The sequence below is a fragment of the Homo sapiens genome, chromosome 7 (genome assembly GCF_000001405.40).
Source record: "Homo sapiens chromosome 7, GRCh38.p14 Primary Assembly".
Classification (NCBI taxonomy): domain Eukaryota; kingdom Metazoa; phylum Chordata; class Mammalia; order Primates; family Hominidae; genus Homo; species Homo sapiens.
The window spans coordinates 44,558,633-44,576,218 of record NC_000007.14 but is presented as its reverse complement, the minus strand read 5'-3'; the positions used below and the strand labels follow the sequence as shown (position 1 = coordinate 44,576,218).

General features: G+C 52.5%; 1 protein-coding gene across 2 annotated transcripts, besides 5 other annotated features; it reads left to right on the top strand.

Annotated features, from left to right (window-relative positions):
* The first annotated feature begins 2,310 nt into the window (after nt 1–2,310).
* On the top strand, nt 2,311–10,415 carry DDX56 (DEAD-box helicase 56). 2 transcript variants are annotated; one of them, NM_019082.4, is made up of 14 exons: nt 2,311–2,383; nt 2,475–2,636; nt 3,169–3,329; nt 3,475–3,645; nt 3,782–3,872; nt 4,483–4,727; nt 5,342–5,461; nt 6,091–6,204; nt 6,316–6,410; nt 7,016–7,089; nt 7,227–7,316; nt 7,996–8,101; nt 9,695–9,771; nt 10,140–10,415. In NM_019082.4, exons 1-14 carry the CDS (start codon nt 2,324–2,326, stop codon nt 10,215–10,217), a joined length of 1,644 nt encoding a protein of 547 aa, NP_061955.1. In that variant the 5' UTR covers nt 2,311–2,323; the 3' UTR covers nt 10,218–10,415. The 2 variants fall into 2 exon arrangements, with proteins under 2 accessions (NP_061955.1, NP_001244118.1); NM_001257189.2 differs by lacking the exon at nt 5,342–5,461.
* Nucleotides 2,545–2,694: an enhancer, noted in NCBI's record as "active region_25942". NCBI's record gives its function as "activates an Ori minimal core promoter by ATAC-STARR-seq in GM12878 lymphoblastoid cells {active_cell/tissue: GM12878}" and the evidence as "EXISTENCE:reporter gene assay evidence [ECO:0000049][PMID:35858748]".
* Nucleotides 10,056–10,555: an enhancer, noted in NCBI's record as "H3K4me1 hESC enhancer chr7:44605263-44605762 (GRCh37/hg19 assembly coordinates)". NCBI's record gives its function as "activates a minimal SCP1, AML or CMV promoter by ChIP-STARR-seq in naive H9 embryonic stem cells {active_cell/tissue: H9 hESC(naive)}" and the evidence as "EXISTENCE:reporter gene assay evidence [ECO:0000049][PMID:30033119]".
* Nucleotides 10,056–10,620: a biological region, named in NCBI's record as "H3K4me1 hESC enhancer GRCh37_chr7:44605263-44605762".
* Nucleotides 10,409–10,620: a silencer, noted in NCBI's record as "fragment chr7:44605198-44605409 (GRCh37/hg19 assembly coordinates)". NCBI's record gives its function as "represses an EF-1alpha promoter that drives an FKBP-Casp9 reporter gene in an ReSE screen in K562 erythroleukemia cells {active_cell/tissue: K562}" and the evidence as "EXISTENCE:reporter gene assay evidence [ECO:0000049][PMID:32094911]".
* Nucleotides 13,968–14,862: an enhancer, noted in NCBI's record as "H3K27ac-H3K4me1 hESC enhancer chr7:44600956-44601850 (GRCh37/hg19 assembly coordinates)". NCBI's record gives its function as "activates a minimal SCP1, AML or CMV promoter by ChIP-STARR-seq in naive and primed H9 embryonic stem cells {active_cell/tissue: H9 hESC(naive and primed)}" and the evidence as "EXISTENCE:reporter gene assay evidence [ECO:0000049][PMID:30033119]".

Genomic DNA, 17,586 nt, shown 5'->3' with positions numbered 1-17,586 from the left:
GCCTTCAACAGGTTTGGCTGGCAGTAGACACAGTGGAGCACATCTTAACTATTTTGGTAGGTCCTGGGTTTCTCTTGGTAGTTTTTGATAGAAAGGGGAATGGTGTGAGGAAAAAGTGGGCATACATTTCACCTTTCCACTGATAAGGCAGGTGGAATTGGGATAGTCAGTGGATGGGCCAATAGCTGGTGGCTGTGAGAAGAATAAGGATTTCCATACTGGTGTGTCATATTTACAGATAGGTTGTGACCTAAAAAGTTTTTTAAAAAACAGCAGTTAGGGCCTGGGCGCGGTGGCTCACGCCTGTAATCCCAGCACTTTGGGAGGCCGAGGCGGGCGGATCACAAGGTCAGGAGATCGAGACCATCCTGGCTAACAACGGTGAAACCCTGTCTCTACTAAAAATACAAAAAATTAGCCGGGCGTGGTGGCAGGTGCCTGTAGTCCCAGCTACTCGGGAGGCTGAGGCAAGAGAATGGCGTGAACTCGGGAGGTGGAGCTTGCAGTGAGCTGAGATCATGCCACTGCACTCCAGCCTGGGCGACAGAGTGAGACTCCTTCTAAAAAACAAAAACAAAACCAAAACAGTAGTTAGGGTACACACACACAAATTCTAGTGATTTTCCCCCCAATACTACCCTTGACTTTTGAAATTCTTGCTTTCTCAGAGTTTACAACATCCTTACCAAACAGCCTTCTCCCTCCTTACCACAAAAAAAGAAAAAAAAGTTCTGGGGTTGAGGGGACACTCCATTCTTAACATCCTCTATTATCCCAGCCCAATTCCCCAGCTCTCACTGGGACTAGTTGTACCTATCTTCATCATTTGGTCCCAGCATGACTACCTGTTGGTGCATGAGCTGATCTCTCCTAACCTAACAGCCAGATGCTAGTCTCTGGTACTCAGATGCTGGGCTGCATCAGATAGGATGCACAGGATCATCCTGGAAGCTTGTTGACATAGATTCCTGTGCAACACTCAGATATAGTCTTAATGTAGATTTGTGTTGGGTGGTATGGTAGGTAGAATAATGGCCTACCACTCTGAAACATATGAATATGTTACCTAACATGACAGAAGAGAATTAAGTTGCTAATCAGATGACTGTAAAATAAATTATCCTGGATCATCTGGATGGGCCTAATGTAATCACAAAGGTTGTTTCCTTGCCTTTTCCAGCTTGGCTCTGGCTCCCTTCCTCCAGCAAGGGTGGGTTGAGCTCTCACATGGCACCACTTTGACCTCTTCTGCTTCCCTCTTCTACACTGAAAGACTTATGGGCCAGGAGCAGTGGCTCGCACCTGCAATCCCAGCACTTTGGGAGGCCGAGGAAGGCAGATCGCTTGGCCCCAGGAGTTCAAAACCGTCCTGGGCAACGTGGCGAAACCCCATCTAGAAAGAAAAGAAGAGAAGGGGAGGGGGGAGGGGAGGAGGAGTTACATATATACACATACACACACACACACACGTACGTACATACATACATACACGCTAACTGGACGTGGTGGTGCGTGCCTGTAGTCTTAGCTTTCCAGGAGACTGAGGTGGGAGGACCACTTGAGCCTGAGATCGCGCCAGCCTGGGTGACAGTCAGACCATGTCTCAAAAAAAAAAAAAGATTTGTGATTAGGATTCTTAGTCCTCACCTGTATTATTTTCCTATTGCTACTGTAACAAATTACCACAAATTTACTGGCTTAAAACGACGCAAGTCTGTAGGTCAGAAGTCTGACACGGGTCTTAACTGGTGACCCGAGTCAGATTTGGGACACAAAGAACAGAAACCAAGCTGTGCAGGTTTCTGACAGGCAGTCCGGTTAGGGAGCCCTACAGCAACCCGCCGGTCCTCTCTCTCAGGCAGTTGCTGCCATGGCTCATTATTCCAACCGGTTCTCCTCAGCCCAGTCTATCTCAGTGGCTCCATTCATAGGGTGATGTGCCCGGCGGGACACTAACCCTAACCAAGCAGAGAGACGGTCATGCCCGTCACGACCTCGGCCCTCGCCCCGGCCGAGGCTTCTCCTGCAGGTCGCGAGAATCAGGTGCGTCAGCGGCGTCCGGGAACGCCGGAAGAGCCAGTGGAGCGGCTCTGTAGTCCAAAGTACCCCGTCGACCCCAGCACGGCCGCTCCACCGCCTCCTACTAGACCCAGTCCTAGGGACTGCGCAGTCGCAGAGCTCCGTCCGAGTACCGGAAGCCTAGGCCGCCAGCACTTCCGGGAAGTGACTTCGTCTCCGAAGCCGATTGGTTGTTGCTTTGCTCCCGCTCGCGTCGGTGGCGTTTTTCCTGCAGCGCGTGCGTGCTGCGCTACTGAGCAGCGCCATGGAGGACTCTGAAGCACTGGGCTTCGAACACATGGGCCTCGATCCCCGGCTCCTTCAGGTACACGCGAGGGCTGGGGAGCCGGCTTACGGGCTCTGCGGGGCGCGCCATCGCTCTTCACGCCGCTTAAACCGCACTCCTGGTCTCCTAGGCTGTCACCGATCTGGGCTGGTCGCGACCTACGCTGATCCAGGAGAAGGCCATCCCACTGGCCCTAGAAGGGAAGGACCTCCTGGCTCGGGCCCGCACGGGCTCCGGGAAGACGGCCGCTTATGCTATTCCGATGCTGCAGCTGTTGCTCCATAGGAAGGCGGTGGGTAACGAGAGAGCTGAGGGGAGGAAGGAGGCAAGCTCCAAAAGCCTGGGAAGGGCGGTTCCCGTTTGTCTGAGGTTTTCTCTTGGCCCTGTACCCGTGCAGGCCGGCCTGAGAACCTGGTGCTGTTGTGGCAAACACTCTGGGCTGGAGTTCAGGTTACCTGGATCCTTGTCCGGCCCTGCTACCACCAACCTTTGCGTAATCTTCGACAAAGCACTTTCTTTTCTTTCTTACATAAAAAGGGAGCACATCTATCTTTTCTACTTACAGAATTATTGTGAGAATTTAGCTTCATAACTAGTATATTTAAAGTAGCTTCATAAACATCAGAGTACGTTATTCTTTTTGAGGGTCAGTGCCTGGGGAAAGAACTCTCCACTCTGCATTCTGAGGCGGGCAGAGTGATAGATGATCAAAGTACTGCTAAGTAGTGTTGCAGCAGATGGGTCAGGTAGGCTGGAAGGGGTAGAGACACGTGGACACAGTGATGTGCACTGCTGGCTAAAGTCTTTAATTCATATTCTTACAGACAGGTCCGGTGGTAGAACAGGCAGTGAGAGGCCTTGTTCTTGTTCCTACCAAGGAGCTGGCACGGCAAGCACAGTCCATGATTCAGCAGCTGGCTACCTACTGTGCTCGGGATGTCCGAGTGGCCAATGTCTCAGCTGCTGAAGACTCAGTCTCTCAGAGGTGGGTAAAAGCAGCAAAGCTGTACCTGAATGAAGCTACACAGTGTTGTGGGGTTGGGTTTGTGTGTGGCAAAAAAGAGAGCAAATCCAGGGTGAGATCCCAGCTGCTACATTCTGCCTGATACTGATGTCTTGTCCACCTCCAGAGCTGTGCTGATGGAGAAGCCAGATGTGGTAGTAGGGACCCCATCTCGCATATTAAGCCACTTGCAGCAAGACAGCCTGAAACTTCGTGACTCCCTGGAGCTTTTGGTGGTGGACGAAGCTGACCTTCTTTTTTCCTTTGGCTTTGAAGAAGAGCTCAAGAGTCTCCTCTGGTAAGGCAGAGGTGGGTGTGATTCCTAGTGGAAACATCTGTGAGTAGGAGTTGGGACGAGAGCGGGGTGGCTGGAAGCCAGTTACTACAATTAGCGGCCCTTGGAGCTGGAATCTGATTGGATTCTTTCATTTCAGTCACTTGCCCCGGATTTACCAGGCTTTTCTCATGTCAGCTACTTTTAACGAGGACGTACAAGCACTCAAGGAGCTGATATTACATAACCCGGTAAGAGGCACCATGGAAGTGTCTGGAGCTGCAGACATGGGGGCACTCAAAGATCTTGATGCTCCTTCTTAGGGGATTCTTTGGTGTTTTGGGTGGGACAGTTGTCACTTAGTGTCTCATCCCTGGTCCTGAGGCACTAAAAGCCAGTGGTCTAAAATCACTATATATTTCCAAGTGTCCACAAGGGATGTCTCCCATTTCAGGCCATGCTTTGCCTAAAATCCTGAGCAAGGACCTCCCCTAAGGGGCAGCTTTGAGCAGCAGAGCCAAAATTCTAAGGCCAAGGTTCTCATCTTAAGTAAACTTTACCTTTCAGAAGGCCTGTTGCTGTAGGCCTTCCCTTCTCAATGTAGTCCTTTATTGATGTGTTTCTCTTTGTTCTGTGCTTGGAAGTATTTTATATATGGTTTATATGGTATACTCTATATACCACAACAATAAGGGCATTTTGGGGTTTTAGGTTACAAAACTGGAGGAGAGTTAGGGTGCCAGGAATCCTTAAATGCATCTCTGCCCTGCACTAAAATGTTGATGCTTTGGTTGGTGAGTAAGTGGCCATACATCTCTGTGTTCTTTTCCTTTCTGACCACAGGCCTGTTTTCTCCCCCAGGTTACCCTTAAGTTACAGGAGTCCCAGCTGCCTGGGCCAGACCAGTTACAGCAGTTTCAGGTGGTCTGTGAGACTGAGGAAGACAAATTCCTCCTGCTGTATGCCCTGCTCAAGCTGTCATTGATTCGGGGCAAGTCTCTGCTCTTTGTCAACACTCTAGAACGGAGTTACCGGCTACGCCTGTTCTTGGAACAGTTCAGCATCCCCACCTGTGTGCTCAATGGAGAGCTTCCACTGCGCTCCAGGTCTGCCACAGCCAACATCTTGGTTGAAATAAGTTGAAGATAGAGATGGAAAGGGGACCCAGTTAATGTTCTGTTTCTTAAGCACTTAGTAGGGGCCAGGTTCTAGATGTGACTGATACTGACTTCTCCCAACTCCAAAATACCTATCATGGCCGGGCACCATGGCTTATGCCTGCTGTAATCTCAGCACTTTGGGAGGCCGAGGTGGGCGGATCGCCTGAGGTCGGGAGTTCAAGACCAGCCTGGCCAGCATGGTGAAACCCCGTCTCTACTAAAAATACAAAAATTAGCTGGACATGGTGGCAGGCACCTGTAATCCCAGCTACTCAGGAAGCTGAGATAGGAGAATTGCTTGAGCCCGGGAGGTGGAGGTTGCAGTGAGCCAAGATCGTGCCATTGCACTCCAGCCTGGGCAACAGGAGTGAAACTCTGTCTCAAAAAAACAAAACCCTATAATTATTTCCAGCTGAGGAAACTGAGGCACAATGATTAAGTAGGGAAAGAGATTAAGAAGAGGAAAAAGGAAAGGGTGATGGTTACTGTGATACTAGGGATGGCAGAGGGGCCTTGAGCTTGCTCTGCTGAGCTGATTCTCTGTCCGCTCTTGGCTGCAGGTGCCACATCATCTCACAGTTCAACCAAGGCTTCTACGACTGTGTCATAGCAACTGATGCTGAAGTCCTGGGGGCCCCAGTCAAGGGCAAGCGTCGGGGCCGAGGGCCCAAAGGGGACAAGTGAGTCCATGCCTCTTTTTCCATCCCTCCCCAGAAATGCCTGTGTTTTTAGCTTTTTGGAAGACTAAAACCAGAGTGCACAGAGCAGGGAGCCAAACCTTCCAGGCCTGGCTGGTAGTGTAGCCCAGAGAGCCCCACAGGTTCTTGCTCAGCTGCCTGGATATAGAGAAGGGAGTGGATGGTGCACACTGCACATGCACCACGAAGGGCAAAACTGCCGGGGTTGTTGGCATGCAGAGCCCTGCAGGGGAGATGGCCCATCCTGCATTGGTGGTATGGCTGTGACTTGCAGGGAGCATATTTCTGAAGGGAAAAGGAACCCCCCAACTCTCCAGTCTCTGTCCAGCTGAAGGCTTGACTAGCTCAGAGTTGGTTTTCAGATCACCATGTAGGGCAATGAGTTCTGCTGTTGTCCCAGAACAGAGGTCAGGCCGAGATTTGGGTACATGTCAAAGCTCCAGGCTGCCCCAGGAAACCCTGACTCCTGGAACGGTTCCATTGTTGGAGAGTCCTCTGTATGTCAGGGTCTTATGATCTACAGGCATTTAGAGGAAGTTTTGCTGATTCAGCGTGTGAATACGTGCCCAGAGGAGAGGAAGGGTCCGGCTGACATTGAGTTATCTCTGCAGGGCCTCTGATCCGGAAGCAGGTGTGGCCCGGGGCATAGACTTCCACCATGTGTCTGCTGTGCTCAACTTTGATCTTCCCCCAACCCCTGAGGCCTACATCCATCGAGCTGGCAGGTAGTAGTGTGACGGCCCAGGCATCTGCATGGTAGGCACACTGAGGGACTTGGGGTGTGCTGGACAGAGCCTGCGGGTTGGAGATGCAAGCTGCACTGTCTTCCCTTGCAGGACAGCACGCGCTAACAACCCAGGCATAGTCTTAACCTTTGTGCTTCCCACGGAGCAGTTCCACTTAGGCAAGATTGAGGAGCTTCTCAGTGGAGGTAAGAGCCTGGCTCTTGTGGTCCTGGGCCAGGGTCAGGCTTCTTCCACAATGCTTTAAAACTCCATGATAATGATGACAGAGGTCACAACATAGTGTGACAGGCCACTTCCACCATCCATCCTTGTTCTGCCCTGAGTGGCAGGCACTGTCCCCCTTGAGAGATAAACAAATTGAGGTAATTTGTCCAAAGTTGTGTTTACTGTCTGCCTCATGAGCGTTGAGTGACCTGACAGGCTGCTGTGACAGCTCAGGACAGCACCTGACCCCAGGGTGCTGGGTGGTCCTGGACTGCTCTCTGTGGCCGTCGTCATGGGGGTACCTTGACTCCCAAGGAATACCATGGGGTACTCCTTGGGAGAGGAGAAGAGAGTGGGTGACGGGTTCTTGGGCTTGGGGCCACACAGGCCACCCCCATCCACACACGGGGACAGATGGGTCATCACTGTAAGAGGCCCAGGTGCAGCTAACCTGCATGTTCGGCATCCCAGGAAGGCGGTGGGTCCCCTGCTGCTTTCCCCCAAGGGGGAGGTGCAGGAGGCCTCCAATGAAGACCCTATCCTAAGGCCTCAGCCTGTGGGACCCTCGCTGCTTTCTTCTCCACAGAGAACAGGGGCCCCATTCTGCTCCCCTACCAGTTCCGGATGGAGGAGATCGAGGGCTTCCGCTATCGCTGCAGGGTGAGCTGCTGTGGTGGGGAGGGGAATGAGAGGGGAGGGGCTGTGGCCCAGGGATTGCACCGTCTTGCTGAGCATCCAGGTGTGAAGGGAGGATTTGGGGCAGCCTCACTGTCTTGACCTTCAGTGTCCACCCCCAGGATGCCATGCGCTCAGTGACTAAGCAGGCCATTCGGGAGGCAAGATTGAAGGAGATCAAGGAAGAGCTTCTGCATTCTGAGAAGCTTAAGGTGAGTGGATGGGAGGTGAGAAGGGGATAGATCTTAGACGGCTGCCCTTTTTGGAGACTGGCTGAGCTCCGAGTGGTGAGAAGCAGAGAACTGGGCAGTTTTCTGGCCTTTGGCACGGAAGGGGAGGAAATGGACCCAGAATCATGGAAGGAAGCCAGTCTGTTCTGCTTGGTGGTAAATTGGCACAACCTTATGGTGGACACTGTCCAGCAGAATTACGAGCTCATGTGTCCTTTCATCCGAAATTCCACTTCTGGAACTTAATCCTGGTCACGCTTGTGAATGTGCACAGTCAAGCATGTGCCTGCATTCATCCATCCATGGCATTATCATGGAACCAAAAGATGGAAACAGCCTGGGGCCACCATAGGGGGCTTGCTAGGTAAACTCAGGTGCATTCAGAGCCGAAGGTTACATGGGAAGGAATGAGGTTGGTTGCGTGTCCATATGGAACAGTCTGTAAGATGATGCCCAGCAAAAAGGGGTACAGGGTACTGCCATGTGTGTCATGGAGAAGGGAAAATGGAAACATCCACTCCCGGGAGGTTCTGAGAAATGCACAGAAGCAGCTGCCTCATGCCTTTTGAAACACATGAGTGTGTTATCCTTTGAAAAGCTAGGTCTGTGAAGTCACAGAAGAAAGATGCTCACTCTGTGGCTCTCCCTCTTCCCCCGGCAGACATACTTTGAAGACAACCCTAGGGACCTCCAGCTGCTGCGGCATGACCTACCTTTGCACCCCGCAGTGGTGAAGCCCCACCTGGGCCATGTTCCTGACTACCTGGGTGAGTGTGGCCTGACAGGGCAGGAGGCAGCAGGCTGGGGAAGTGGCATTAATTTCTCCACTGCTGGGTCAGCCCCTGTGCTTGGTGCTGGGGATGCTCAGGCAGAATAGAACCTGGAGACCCTGGCAGCACGCGGGCATGTAAACAGGCACACCCCTGTGTTTCTAAACTTGTTTGCTTGGTCCCACGGGTTAGCTGTTGCTGTCTCCATTTTAGAGATGAGGAAATTGAGGTAGTGCAGGGTGGGTGGCAGACCCAGCATTTCAGGCCAGGTCGTCTCCAGAGCTGGGCCAAATGGCCATCCATGGGTCGAAGGGAGTGAACAGGTTTGGGAGAGAGTCACGGGCAGGAGGCAGAGAGAGCCACCTGTGCTGCAAAAGACTCAAGATTAGCAGCTGCTGAAGAGGCATCTGTGGAGTCTCTGGGTAAGAACAGTCAGCAGGGAGACAGACTCTGTAAGGCCTAAACCGACAAGGTAGCAAGAGAAGAGCCAGTGGTGGTGCGAGGGATGCAGGGGTTGGCAGGCATGAGGTCAGGACCCTGGGATTGGTTTCTGTAGTGCAGCCCAGGCTAGAGCTTTATGTGGCCATTAATACTGGGCACCTCTCCTCATCTTTGGCAGGCTCTGGGTAATGACTTCTTTCAGTGTCTCATAGGAGGTGTTTTTGGTAATGAGTATGTGTGACTTTTATGCCTAAAATGGATTGAAGGAGGAGAGTGGTGGAGAGGAGGCTGTGGGCAGCAAGTGCAGGACCCTTCCCAATGCCACAGGGTCTGCTCAGCCTGGACCTGCAGCCACCCAGCGGGTGTGGTGTTGCTGCTATGGAGGTGACAAAGGGTGGAGATGGAATGTTCCAGGGCAGGAAAAGCCTGGGCACTGGGAAAGGAAGGATCCAGAAGAGATGGGAACATGAAAATGCCAGAGAGAGCGGTGGGGGCCGGGTTCCCATGGGACAGTGAGCTGGAGGAGACCCCAGTCCAGGTCCTGGCCTGAGATGTGAGGAGGGGAGTTGGGAGGGTGGGTAGGGAGGGAGAAGGTAAGGCTAGAACTTTGGCCTCAGGAACCCAGTCTGCTCGTATAGCGGAGTCATTTGCCAAGGTGTGGCCAGGAGGTTTAGAAGGGCCAGGAGAAGGTGGAAAGGTGTCAGGATGTGGGATGTTTGACATTTGAAGGGGAGGGCCCAGGTGTGGTTGGCCTGGGGGAGTCCATGGGGTGGGCGAGGTGAAGATAGAGCCAAGATCAGGTGCAGCTGGGATGCGGGGCCCCCTGTATCGGTAGTAATGGGCCACAGGTGAAGAAACTACCTGTTGACTTTTATTTCAGCTGCATTTTCTTTCTTTAAGGATGTCTGTCTTTTTCTTTCTTGTTACATGTTTGTTGTAACAAATCTAAACAATATAGGAGAGTGATTTAAATAGTGGAAGTCTAAGGTGCTCACATTCTCCTGGCCCTGTGCAGATGTGGTAGTGAATAGATGTATGTCATAGGCTGCCAGTTGGGTCAGAATTGGAGAATTTGCTGCAGAATCAGCGGGAGGGCAGGGATGGGAGCAGTAGCGGTGAGCCCACTGCTCAGGCAAGCATCTCTTCCAGTTCCTCCTGCTCTCCGTGGCCTGGTGCGCCCTCACAAGAAGCGGAAGAAGCTGTCTTCCTCTTGTAGGAAGGCCAAGGTACGGCTCCTGGGGACTGCGGACAGCCCCAGGACTCCTCCCAACCTGCTCTTTTGTCATCACCAGAATGTGGAGGCGCCTTGCCCTAGGGAGGGGAAGAGAGGGTGCCCTAGGGAGGGGAAGAGGGGGCACCCTAGAACCGGGCCCCAAAAATCTGGTGTGGGATAGGGGTACTTTTGCAGCCGCCTGCAGGCCCTGCTTTTCTTTCCCCAGCTGCCTTTCCCCATTTCCTTATCTGCAGCACCTTCTGGTCGTGTTGGCCAGTTGCCGGCACGGCTCCCTTTGTGTCTTTCTCAGTTGGGTGGGTGGGTGGGTGGATTGTCTGTCGGCCTGATTCCCCCAACTAACCTGTGACTTTGCCTCCTTAGAGAGCAAAGTCCCAGAACCCACTGCGCAGCTTCAAGCACAAAGGAAAGAAATTCAGACCCACAGCCAAGCCCTCCTGAGGTTGTTGGGCCTCTCTGGAGCTGAGCACATTGTGGAGCACAGGCTTACACCCTTCGTGGACAGGCGAGGCTCTGGTGCTTACTGCACAGCCTGAACAGACAGTTCTGGGGCCGGCAGTGCTGGGCCCTTTAGCTCCTTGGCACTTCCAAGCTGGCATCTTGCCCCTTGACAACAGAATAAAAATTTTAGCTGCCCCAGTTTGTGCCTCCAGCATATGAAAAGGACTATTTGAATCCCCAAAACATCAGGAGTCGGGAAACTTCGGAAGACAGCTGTGCCTGGCTCTGTGGCTGCATGCAGTGCTTCACTTGGCCAGCAGAGGTCAGCTGTGCCGAGCTGCCCCAGCCATGAGAAGAGAAGCCTGCCCTTGCTGGCAGGTGGCTATGGCCGGCCCAGAGCCTTCCTGCCCAGCTCCTGCAGCCCTGCTGCCTGGGATCAGGCTGGGAGATGGGCCTTCCTGACCGCCAGCCTTCCTCTCCCCGAGCACACGCACATGTAGATTCGGGGGGAAGCTGCCTGCTCTTCCTTAGAGGAGCCGGGGCAGCTATCTGCTGGTCCCTTTCTGAACAACTGTTGATGTGTGAGCTGTGTCTGTGTGTTATGTGCATAAGCGGTGGTGTGACATACACACATGTGTACTGTCCCTTATGCCCTGGCCTGAGCTCTCCAGCTGCCTTCTCAGCCTGAAGGCTGGGCTTCTCTGCTGGCTTGGGGTCCTAGATTGCATGTCACCTGCTTACCAGGCGTCACAAGGCCATGCTGGGGGCATGAGGAGGTTGGGGCAGCAGGAGAGTGGGGAGAAACTAGGAGAGTGCCTGAGTATTTTAGAAAGAACCAAGTTTTTTCTCGGCAAAAGCTTATACAGAGACGAAGGAGTCTGTGTCTTTGGTCATGGTAGGACTGAAGCTAGCAGGACCCGAGATTTGGGGCCTCCATGATCCCTGCTCCTCTTCTGTTAACACCCAAGGATTTCCACGAAGCCAGTGTGTATGATGGGGGCAGGACAGTGGTACTTTCTGGGCAGGTGTGAACTAGAGCTGCTAAGGAGCTGCAGACGATATTCTTGCAGTTTGGTGGTTAGCAGTATTCAGAAGGACAAAGAGTTAATGGAACTGGAGATAAAGAGCAACCATTTGAGCATCTGCTGGGAGACATCTGTCAACTGCACAGACCCTATCAGTGGGCATCGCTGCCACCTCTTGGAAGACAAGACAGGGCAGAGAGTGCCTGCAGTGCTGAGGCCTGGTCCTTGCCCTAGGTTGGCCTTCCCACCTGGCTTCATGGAGTGCTGAGGCTGGTCCTGGGGACAGTGAGTGCTCTGGATGTTTTAGCCAAGCTGTGTTCTAAAGTGATGCACAGTCTGTCTCCACTATGTTTATCTCTCTGACCCTGTCACTTCCAAGCACACCCTACCAAGAGCTTGTATCCCAGAGCCACCCTGATGGAGAGGAGATTGGTTTCCCCAGTGATTTCCTTCTTTGGGGGGTGGGGTAGAGGAACATGGAGCCAGCCTTATGCTGTATTCGTGCCTGGGGATAGCAGGGTCTGGGCCCGGAGCAGAGGAGCTTGGGTAAAGATATGGAGGCTGTTTGTTCAAAGTGTACATTCCTTCCTCCTAACGGCATCCCTGGGGGAAGCTATTTCTATGTTTTAGGTGGGGAAGATGAGGCTTAGAAGTTGCCTGGTGAATGAGGTTCTTTGCAAGATTTGGGTTCTGGCCTGTCCACCCTGGTGGAGTAGCTGGTACCACGGGGGCTTTTGCTGTGGGGTTAGGCACCATGTGGGCGCTCTGGGGCCAGGGCATTGGAAAGAATGGGAGGATTGCTTGAGCCCAGAAGTTCGAGGCTGTATGATCACGCAACTGCACTCCATCCTGGGCAACATACTGAGACACTCTCTCTCTTTTTTTTTGAGACAGAGTCTCACTTTGTTGCCCAGGCTGGAGTGTGGTGGTGCAATCTCAGCTCACTGCAACCTCTGCCTCCTGGGTTCAAGCAATTCTTCCCGCCTCAACCTCCTGAGTAGCTGGGATTACAGGTGGCCGCCACCACGCCTGGCTAAGTTTTTTATATTTTTAGTAGAGACAGAGTTTCACCATGTTGGTCAGGCTGGTCTTGAACTTCTGACCTCAGGTGATCCACCCACCTCGGCCTCCCAAAGTGCTGGGATTACAGGCGTGAGCCACCATGCCTGGCCGTGAGACTCTATCTTTAAAAAATAAAGAACAGGAAGGTCCATCTTCGTGTCCTGAGACTACAGAGAGAAAGTAAGTATAAATGGCTCGTTCAACACCCCACCTGGGAGGCAGGTACCATGTGCCCATTTACGTGTGAACAAACAGGCACTCAGGGTTGGCCTCTTGGACTTAGTCTGGCCAAAGCCTGTGCCCTTTGCACAAATGTGCAAATCAGGACTGGGGCAGGCCTTGGATGAGGGTATGTGTGCTATGGGCAAATGAACCTAGGGCTGTCCAGGGCCAAACAGCACAGAGGGCATGTGGGCCTGGAAGGGAGGAAGGAGGTGTGGCACATGCTGCGTGGAAGCCTAAGGCTTCACTAAACAGCAGAGAAGCTTGGATGGTTTTCAGGCTGGTGACGCCCTGGGCTGAAGCAGGAAGGTCAGGAGAATGCAGTGGCCTCTCCACTCTGGGCTGGCACAGTTTTGCCCACATGTATACCTGAATGGGTGCCTGGCTGTGTGGACTGTGCTATGGTCTGGAATCAGATGGACAAGGCACAGTCTATGAGGCAAGGAGCAGAGATGGTCAGCCAATGCAGACTGCTCAATAGTCATGTTGGGAGTTCAGGGTACTGGAGGGCTATAAGGGGCCCTCACCCAGTTGGAGAGAATGCTGCCTTCCTTGAGAAAGTGAGGTTTATGCTGAGATGGGAAGGGTGGGAGGGAACAGCAATCCTAGCAGGGGAGACAGCATGTGCAAATTCCCTGGGGTGGGAGGGATCCCTGCACATTTGAGGGTGAAAAGACCAGAGGGTTGTTACCAAAATATGCAATGGGGGCTGAAAATTTGATTTTTTAAAAAAATGTAATAGTCACATATTAAAAATTCAAAGGATACAGAAGATGGAGGGTTTTTGAAAACAAGGGCATTCTTTTTTTTTTTCTTTCTTTTTTTTTTTTTTTTTTTTGAGATGGAGTCTTGTTCTGTCACCCAGGCTAGAGTGCAGTGGCGCCATCTCGGCCCAGTACAACCTCCGCCTCCTGGGTTCAAGCGATTCTCCCGCCTCAGCCTCCTGAGTAGCTGGGATTACAGGCACCCACCATCATGCCTGGCTAATTTTTGTATCTTTGTGGAGATGGGATTTCACCATGTTGGCCAGGATGAACTCCTGACCTCGGGTAATCCACCCGCCTCGGCCTCCCAAAGTTCTGGGATTACAGGCGTGAGCCACCACACCCGGCCAACAGCATTCTGATGATATAGCTGGTGATAGCAGATGGGAGGACAGTGGTGTGCCCAGAAACCTCTGGACCTGGAGCACAAAAGGCTCAGGGTGCATTCCCAGCCCAGCGGATTCTCTGCCTGCATCTGCTAAGGATGAATGACTCAGCTTTGGGGGAATTAGTTGTGAGACTTTGGACTTCAGGGGCGGGGCCCCAAGAGGCAATGGTGATAAAGTTGAATTTGAGCAGGGAAGGTGCCCCGTCAGCTGTCATCCTTTTCCCCAGGAACATCATTATGTAAGACTCCTGCCTTGTGGAACAGGCTGTGAGTTGCTGCTCTTCCATTCCTCACAGCCATGTTTACAAGGGTAAGGAAGGGAAGGAGTGGTTCATCATTGCAGAGAGGAAGGTGCCTTGGCCAAGCAGACCTGCTCTGTGCCAGGCATGACACTGGGCAAATGCACAGTATTTAGTTTATTTATCCTGAAATGCTTTCAGAACTCAATGCATCCAGTGTCTTGTTATCCCTCCAGCCTATCCGCAAACCTGCTGAGATGCAGTAGGTTTGGCGTAGAATGCACTGAGGGTATCTGTGGCAACAGTGGGCTAAAGAACAAGGCACATCAAGGGGGTCTTCCGACGAACACCCCAAGGGTTGCCTCCACCACGCAGCATCCTGCTGTGGCTCGCCTCAATGTCCCAGGTGCTCTGTGGGCACAGTGGCCAGGTCAGACCATGATGGCCACTTTCTGACTGTATGGTCTCATACAGGGAAGGCATGTCACTTTTCTTGGCCTTCTCTAGGTTCTCACCTGTAAGTGGGGGTAAAATGTCCCCTCCAAGGGTTCCTGTAGGGGCCGAAGTGGCTCAGGCACCTGGCACGCCTGTTGCAGCCCAGCTCTGTGCTAGCACCTCCCAATGCCTGTTGAATCCACCATTGCCTTCTGGGACGTGTCTCCATACTTCCACGAGAATACGTCTAGGGCACAGCCTGGGGTTCTGCATTTGAGTTCTCACCTCCGTCCCAGGTGAGCCCAAAGGTGCTGGTCTCTAGTCCACATTTGAGAGGCAAGGCTTTAATATCCACCACACACATTTATTTTGCAGATTGGCAAAAGCTTAGATTAACTAGCCAGCCCAATGTCACTTGGCTAAGTGGTAGAGGGGAGGTGCTGTGTCTGTCAGACTCTAGTCTGGAATTGGAGGTGGGATACCTAGGTTCAAGTCCTGGATATGAAACTTCCCTGTCACATCCCTTCTCTGAGCCCAACACTTAATCCGAAAGTCATGGTGACGTGGGAGGCCAGGTAAAGTAGGAGATGTCTAGCTAGATTGGAATTTCAAATAATGAGGAATTTTACAGCATAACCGTGTCCTGTCCAATATTTGGGACATATGCTAAAACAGATATTCACTGTTTCTCTGAAATTCCAGTATAGCTGGGCATCCTGCTTTTTATTTGCTAAATGTGCAACCCTAGGTTGTGAGACCTCTCTGACCCACGCGTGGCCTCCTCCAGGAAGTCTTCCTGAGCGCCAGCCTGGGCTGGGCATCCTCCTCTGTGTGTCTGATGCTGCTCTGACCTCATGAAGCTCTAATTGCTGGGGCCTGTCCCCACCTTGATGTGGGAGCTCTTCGGAGGCAAGGACCATGCCAAGTTGCATATCTGTGTGTTCCTGAGTCCAGTGGTTCATTAAAAGCTTTTCCCTGAGAGTATCCTTAATGCCCCGGAGGTAATTCTCTTTTCACAACCTTTCTACTGCCTGAGGCTCTTGAGGACTAATTCCAGTTAAAAGCAGAGGGAAGGATGTGGTAGGAATAGCACCGCATGGAGCTGGACTCTGTGCCCCCCGTGCAGCAGGCAGGACCCTCCCTCTGTGTCACCTCCATGACTCAGGGCTCAGACAGGAAGCCCTCATCCTCGTCCTCCACGGGTCTCATGTTTGTCAAGGCCAGGGGTATCAGGCGTAGTAGGCAGGGGCCCATGCCTGCTCCCATCTGGGAGACCCTGCTTCAGGCCCCTCTCATGGCCCCTTTTGTTCCCCACAGCTCACTGTACAACTTGTTGGTTCAAGGTTAGAAAATGCAGTTTTGTGTTGAGGGGGACCATCACAGAAGACAAAGGGTCCAGGATGAAGGCTACCCATCAGCTTGCAGGGCTGGGACGAATGTGAGAAGCAACTGATGCTTGTACAGTAGAGAGTAAGCATGTAGGGCCAGTCCCCAGACCTTGCCTCCCCTCAGCCTTGACATGTGATCTCCATTTCTGGTGGCTACCCCTGCTAGTGGTCTGGCTTCACCATCTTAGCCCTGCCCAGGCTAAGACCCTCTTCCATCAGAACCTGCAGCTGGGATGCTGGGAGCAACAGTCAGGGCAGAGCTGCCCATCCTCCCATTCAGGGAGCCCTCAGGAAGTACTTGGGACCCCCCGACCCTTTATAGATTCAGCCTGCCTCATCCCCTCCATGGACCAACACGCCCTTCTCCTCAGCAGTGGGCTGGGGGACCAGGCTCCTGAACTGCTTGTGGCTGTTCCAGCAGTGGGGAGATGGAGGGTCACACAGTCCTGAGTCTATGGCTTTGACAGCAACGGGTCCTGACTGCAGCTGTATTCGTGAAGCGAAGTACCTAATACAATCACCGAAATGTACAAATTGGACCCCTATAGGTTCAAGGATTCTTGGTGTAGGAGGTATGGCCCCCGCCCCGGGAACCAGGACCTCAGCTTTTAGAAGCAAAATGCATGAATGCAGTGATGGTTAGGCCAAGTGCCAAGGGAGACAGCCAACCCCTGCTATCATGGCCAGAGGAGGGAGAGACCACTCAGGCCTGGGTGGTGGTAGAAATCCTCACTGCCAAGGAGATTGTATGCGCAGGCGTTGGGAAGGCCCGGAGAAGCCTGAGAGACAGGCTTGGCTTGGTTATAGCAGAGCTGGGTGGAGGGAGCAGATTAGTTGGCTTAGCACAGGCTTCCTGCAGGGTGGTGGTTCTTGGCCAGATTTGCCCCAGTGGGGCTTTTGGGAAAGTATAGAAATATTGTTGTTTTTTTTTTTTTGAGACAGAGTCTTGCTCCGTTGCCCAGGCTGGAGTGCAGTGGTGTGTTCTTGGCTCACTACAACCTCCATCCACCTCCCGGGTTCAAGTGATTCTCCTGCCTCAGCCTGCCAAGTAGTTGGGACTACAGGCATGTGCCACCACACCCAGCTAATCTTTGTATTTTTAGGAGATGGGGTTTCACCATGTTGGCCAGGCTGGTCATGAACTCCTAACCTCAAGTGATCTGCCCGCCTCAGCCTCCCAAAGTGCTGGGATTACAGGTGTGAGCCACTGTGCCAGCCAAGAAACATTTTAGGTTATCATATCTGGGCAATGGATGCTACTGGCTTTAGGTGGGAAGAGGCCGGGGATACTGTTAAAATCATGCAATGTACAAGGCAGCCCCCACAAGAGAGTTCTGTGGTTGAAAATGTCCGTAGTGTTGAGGTTGAGGACTCTGCTGTGGGGCAACAGTAGGAGAAGGGGTGCTAATAGTCAGGTGGTGGACAGCAGGGAATTACAGGTACATCAGTTAGGAGTGTATACAGCTGCAAGTAAGAGACCACCAGATGGCAGGAACAGTGGGAACAGAATGGTTTATCTTTTTCATGTGTCAAGATAAGTGGTGCTAAAGTCAGGCATGGTGGCCCTCACTTATAATCCCAGCAATTCAGGAGGCTGAAGAGTGAGGATCACTTGAGGCCAGGAGTTCAAGACCAGCCTGGGCAACACAGTGAAATGCCATCTCTAAAAATAAAAATTAAAAAAATTAGCCAGGGGCTGGGTGCAGTGGCTCACGCCTGTAATCCCAGCACTTTGGGAGGCTAAGGCGGGTGGATCACCTGAGGTCAGGAGTTCGAGACCAGCCTGGCCAACATGGTGAAACCCTGTCTCTACTAAAAATATAAAATTAGCTGGGCATGGTGGCAC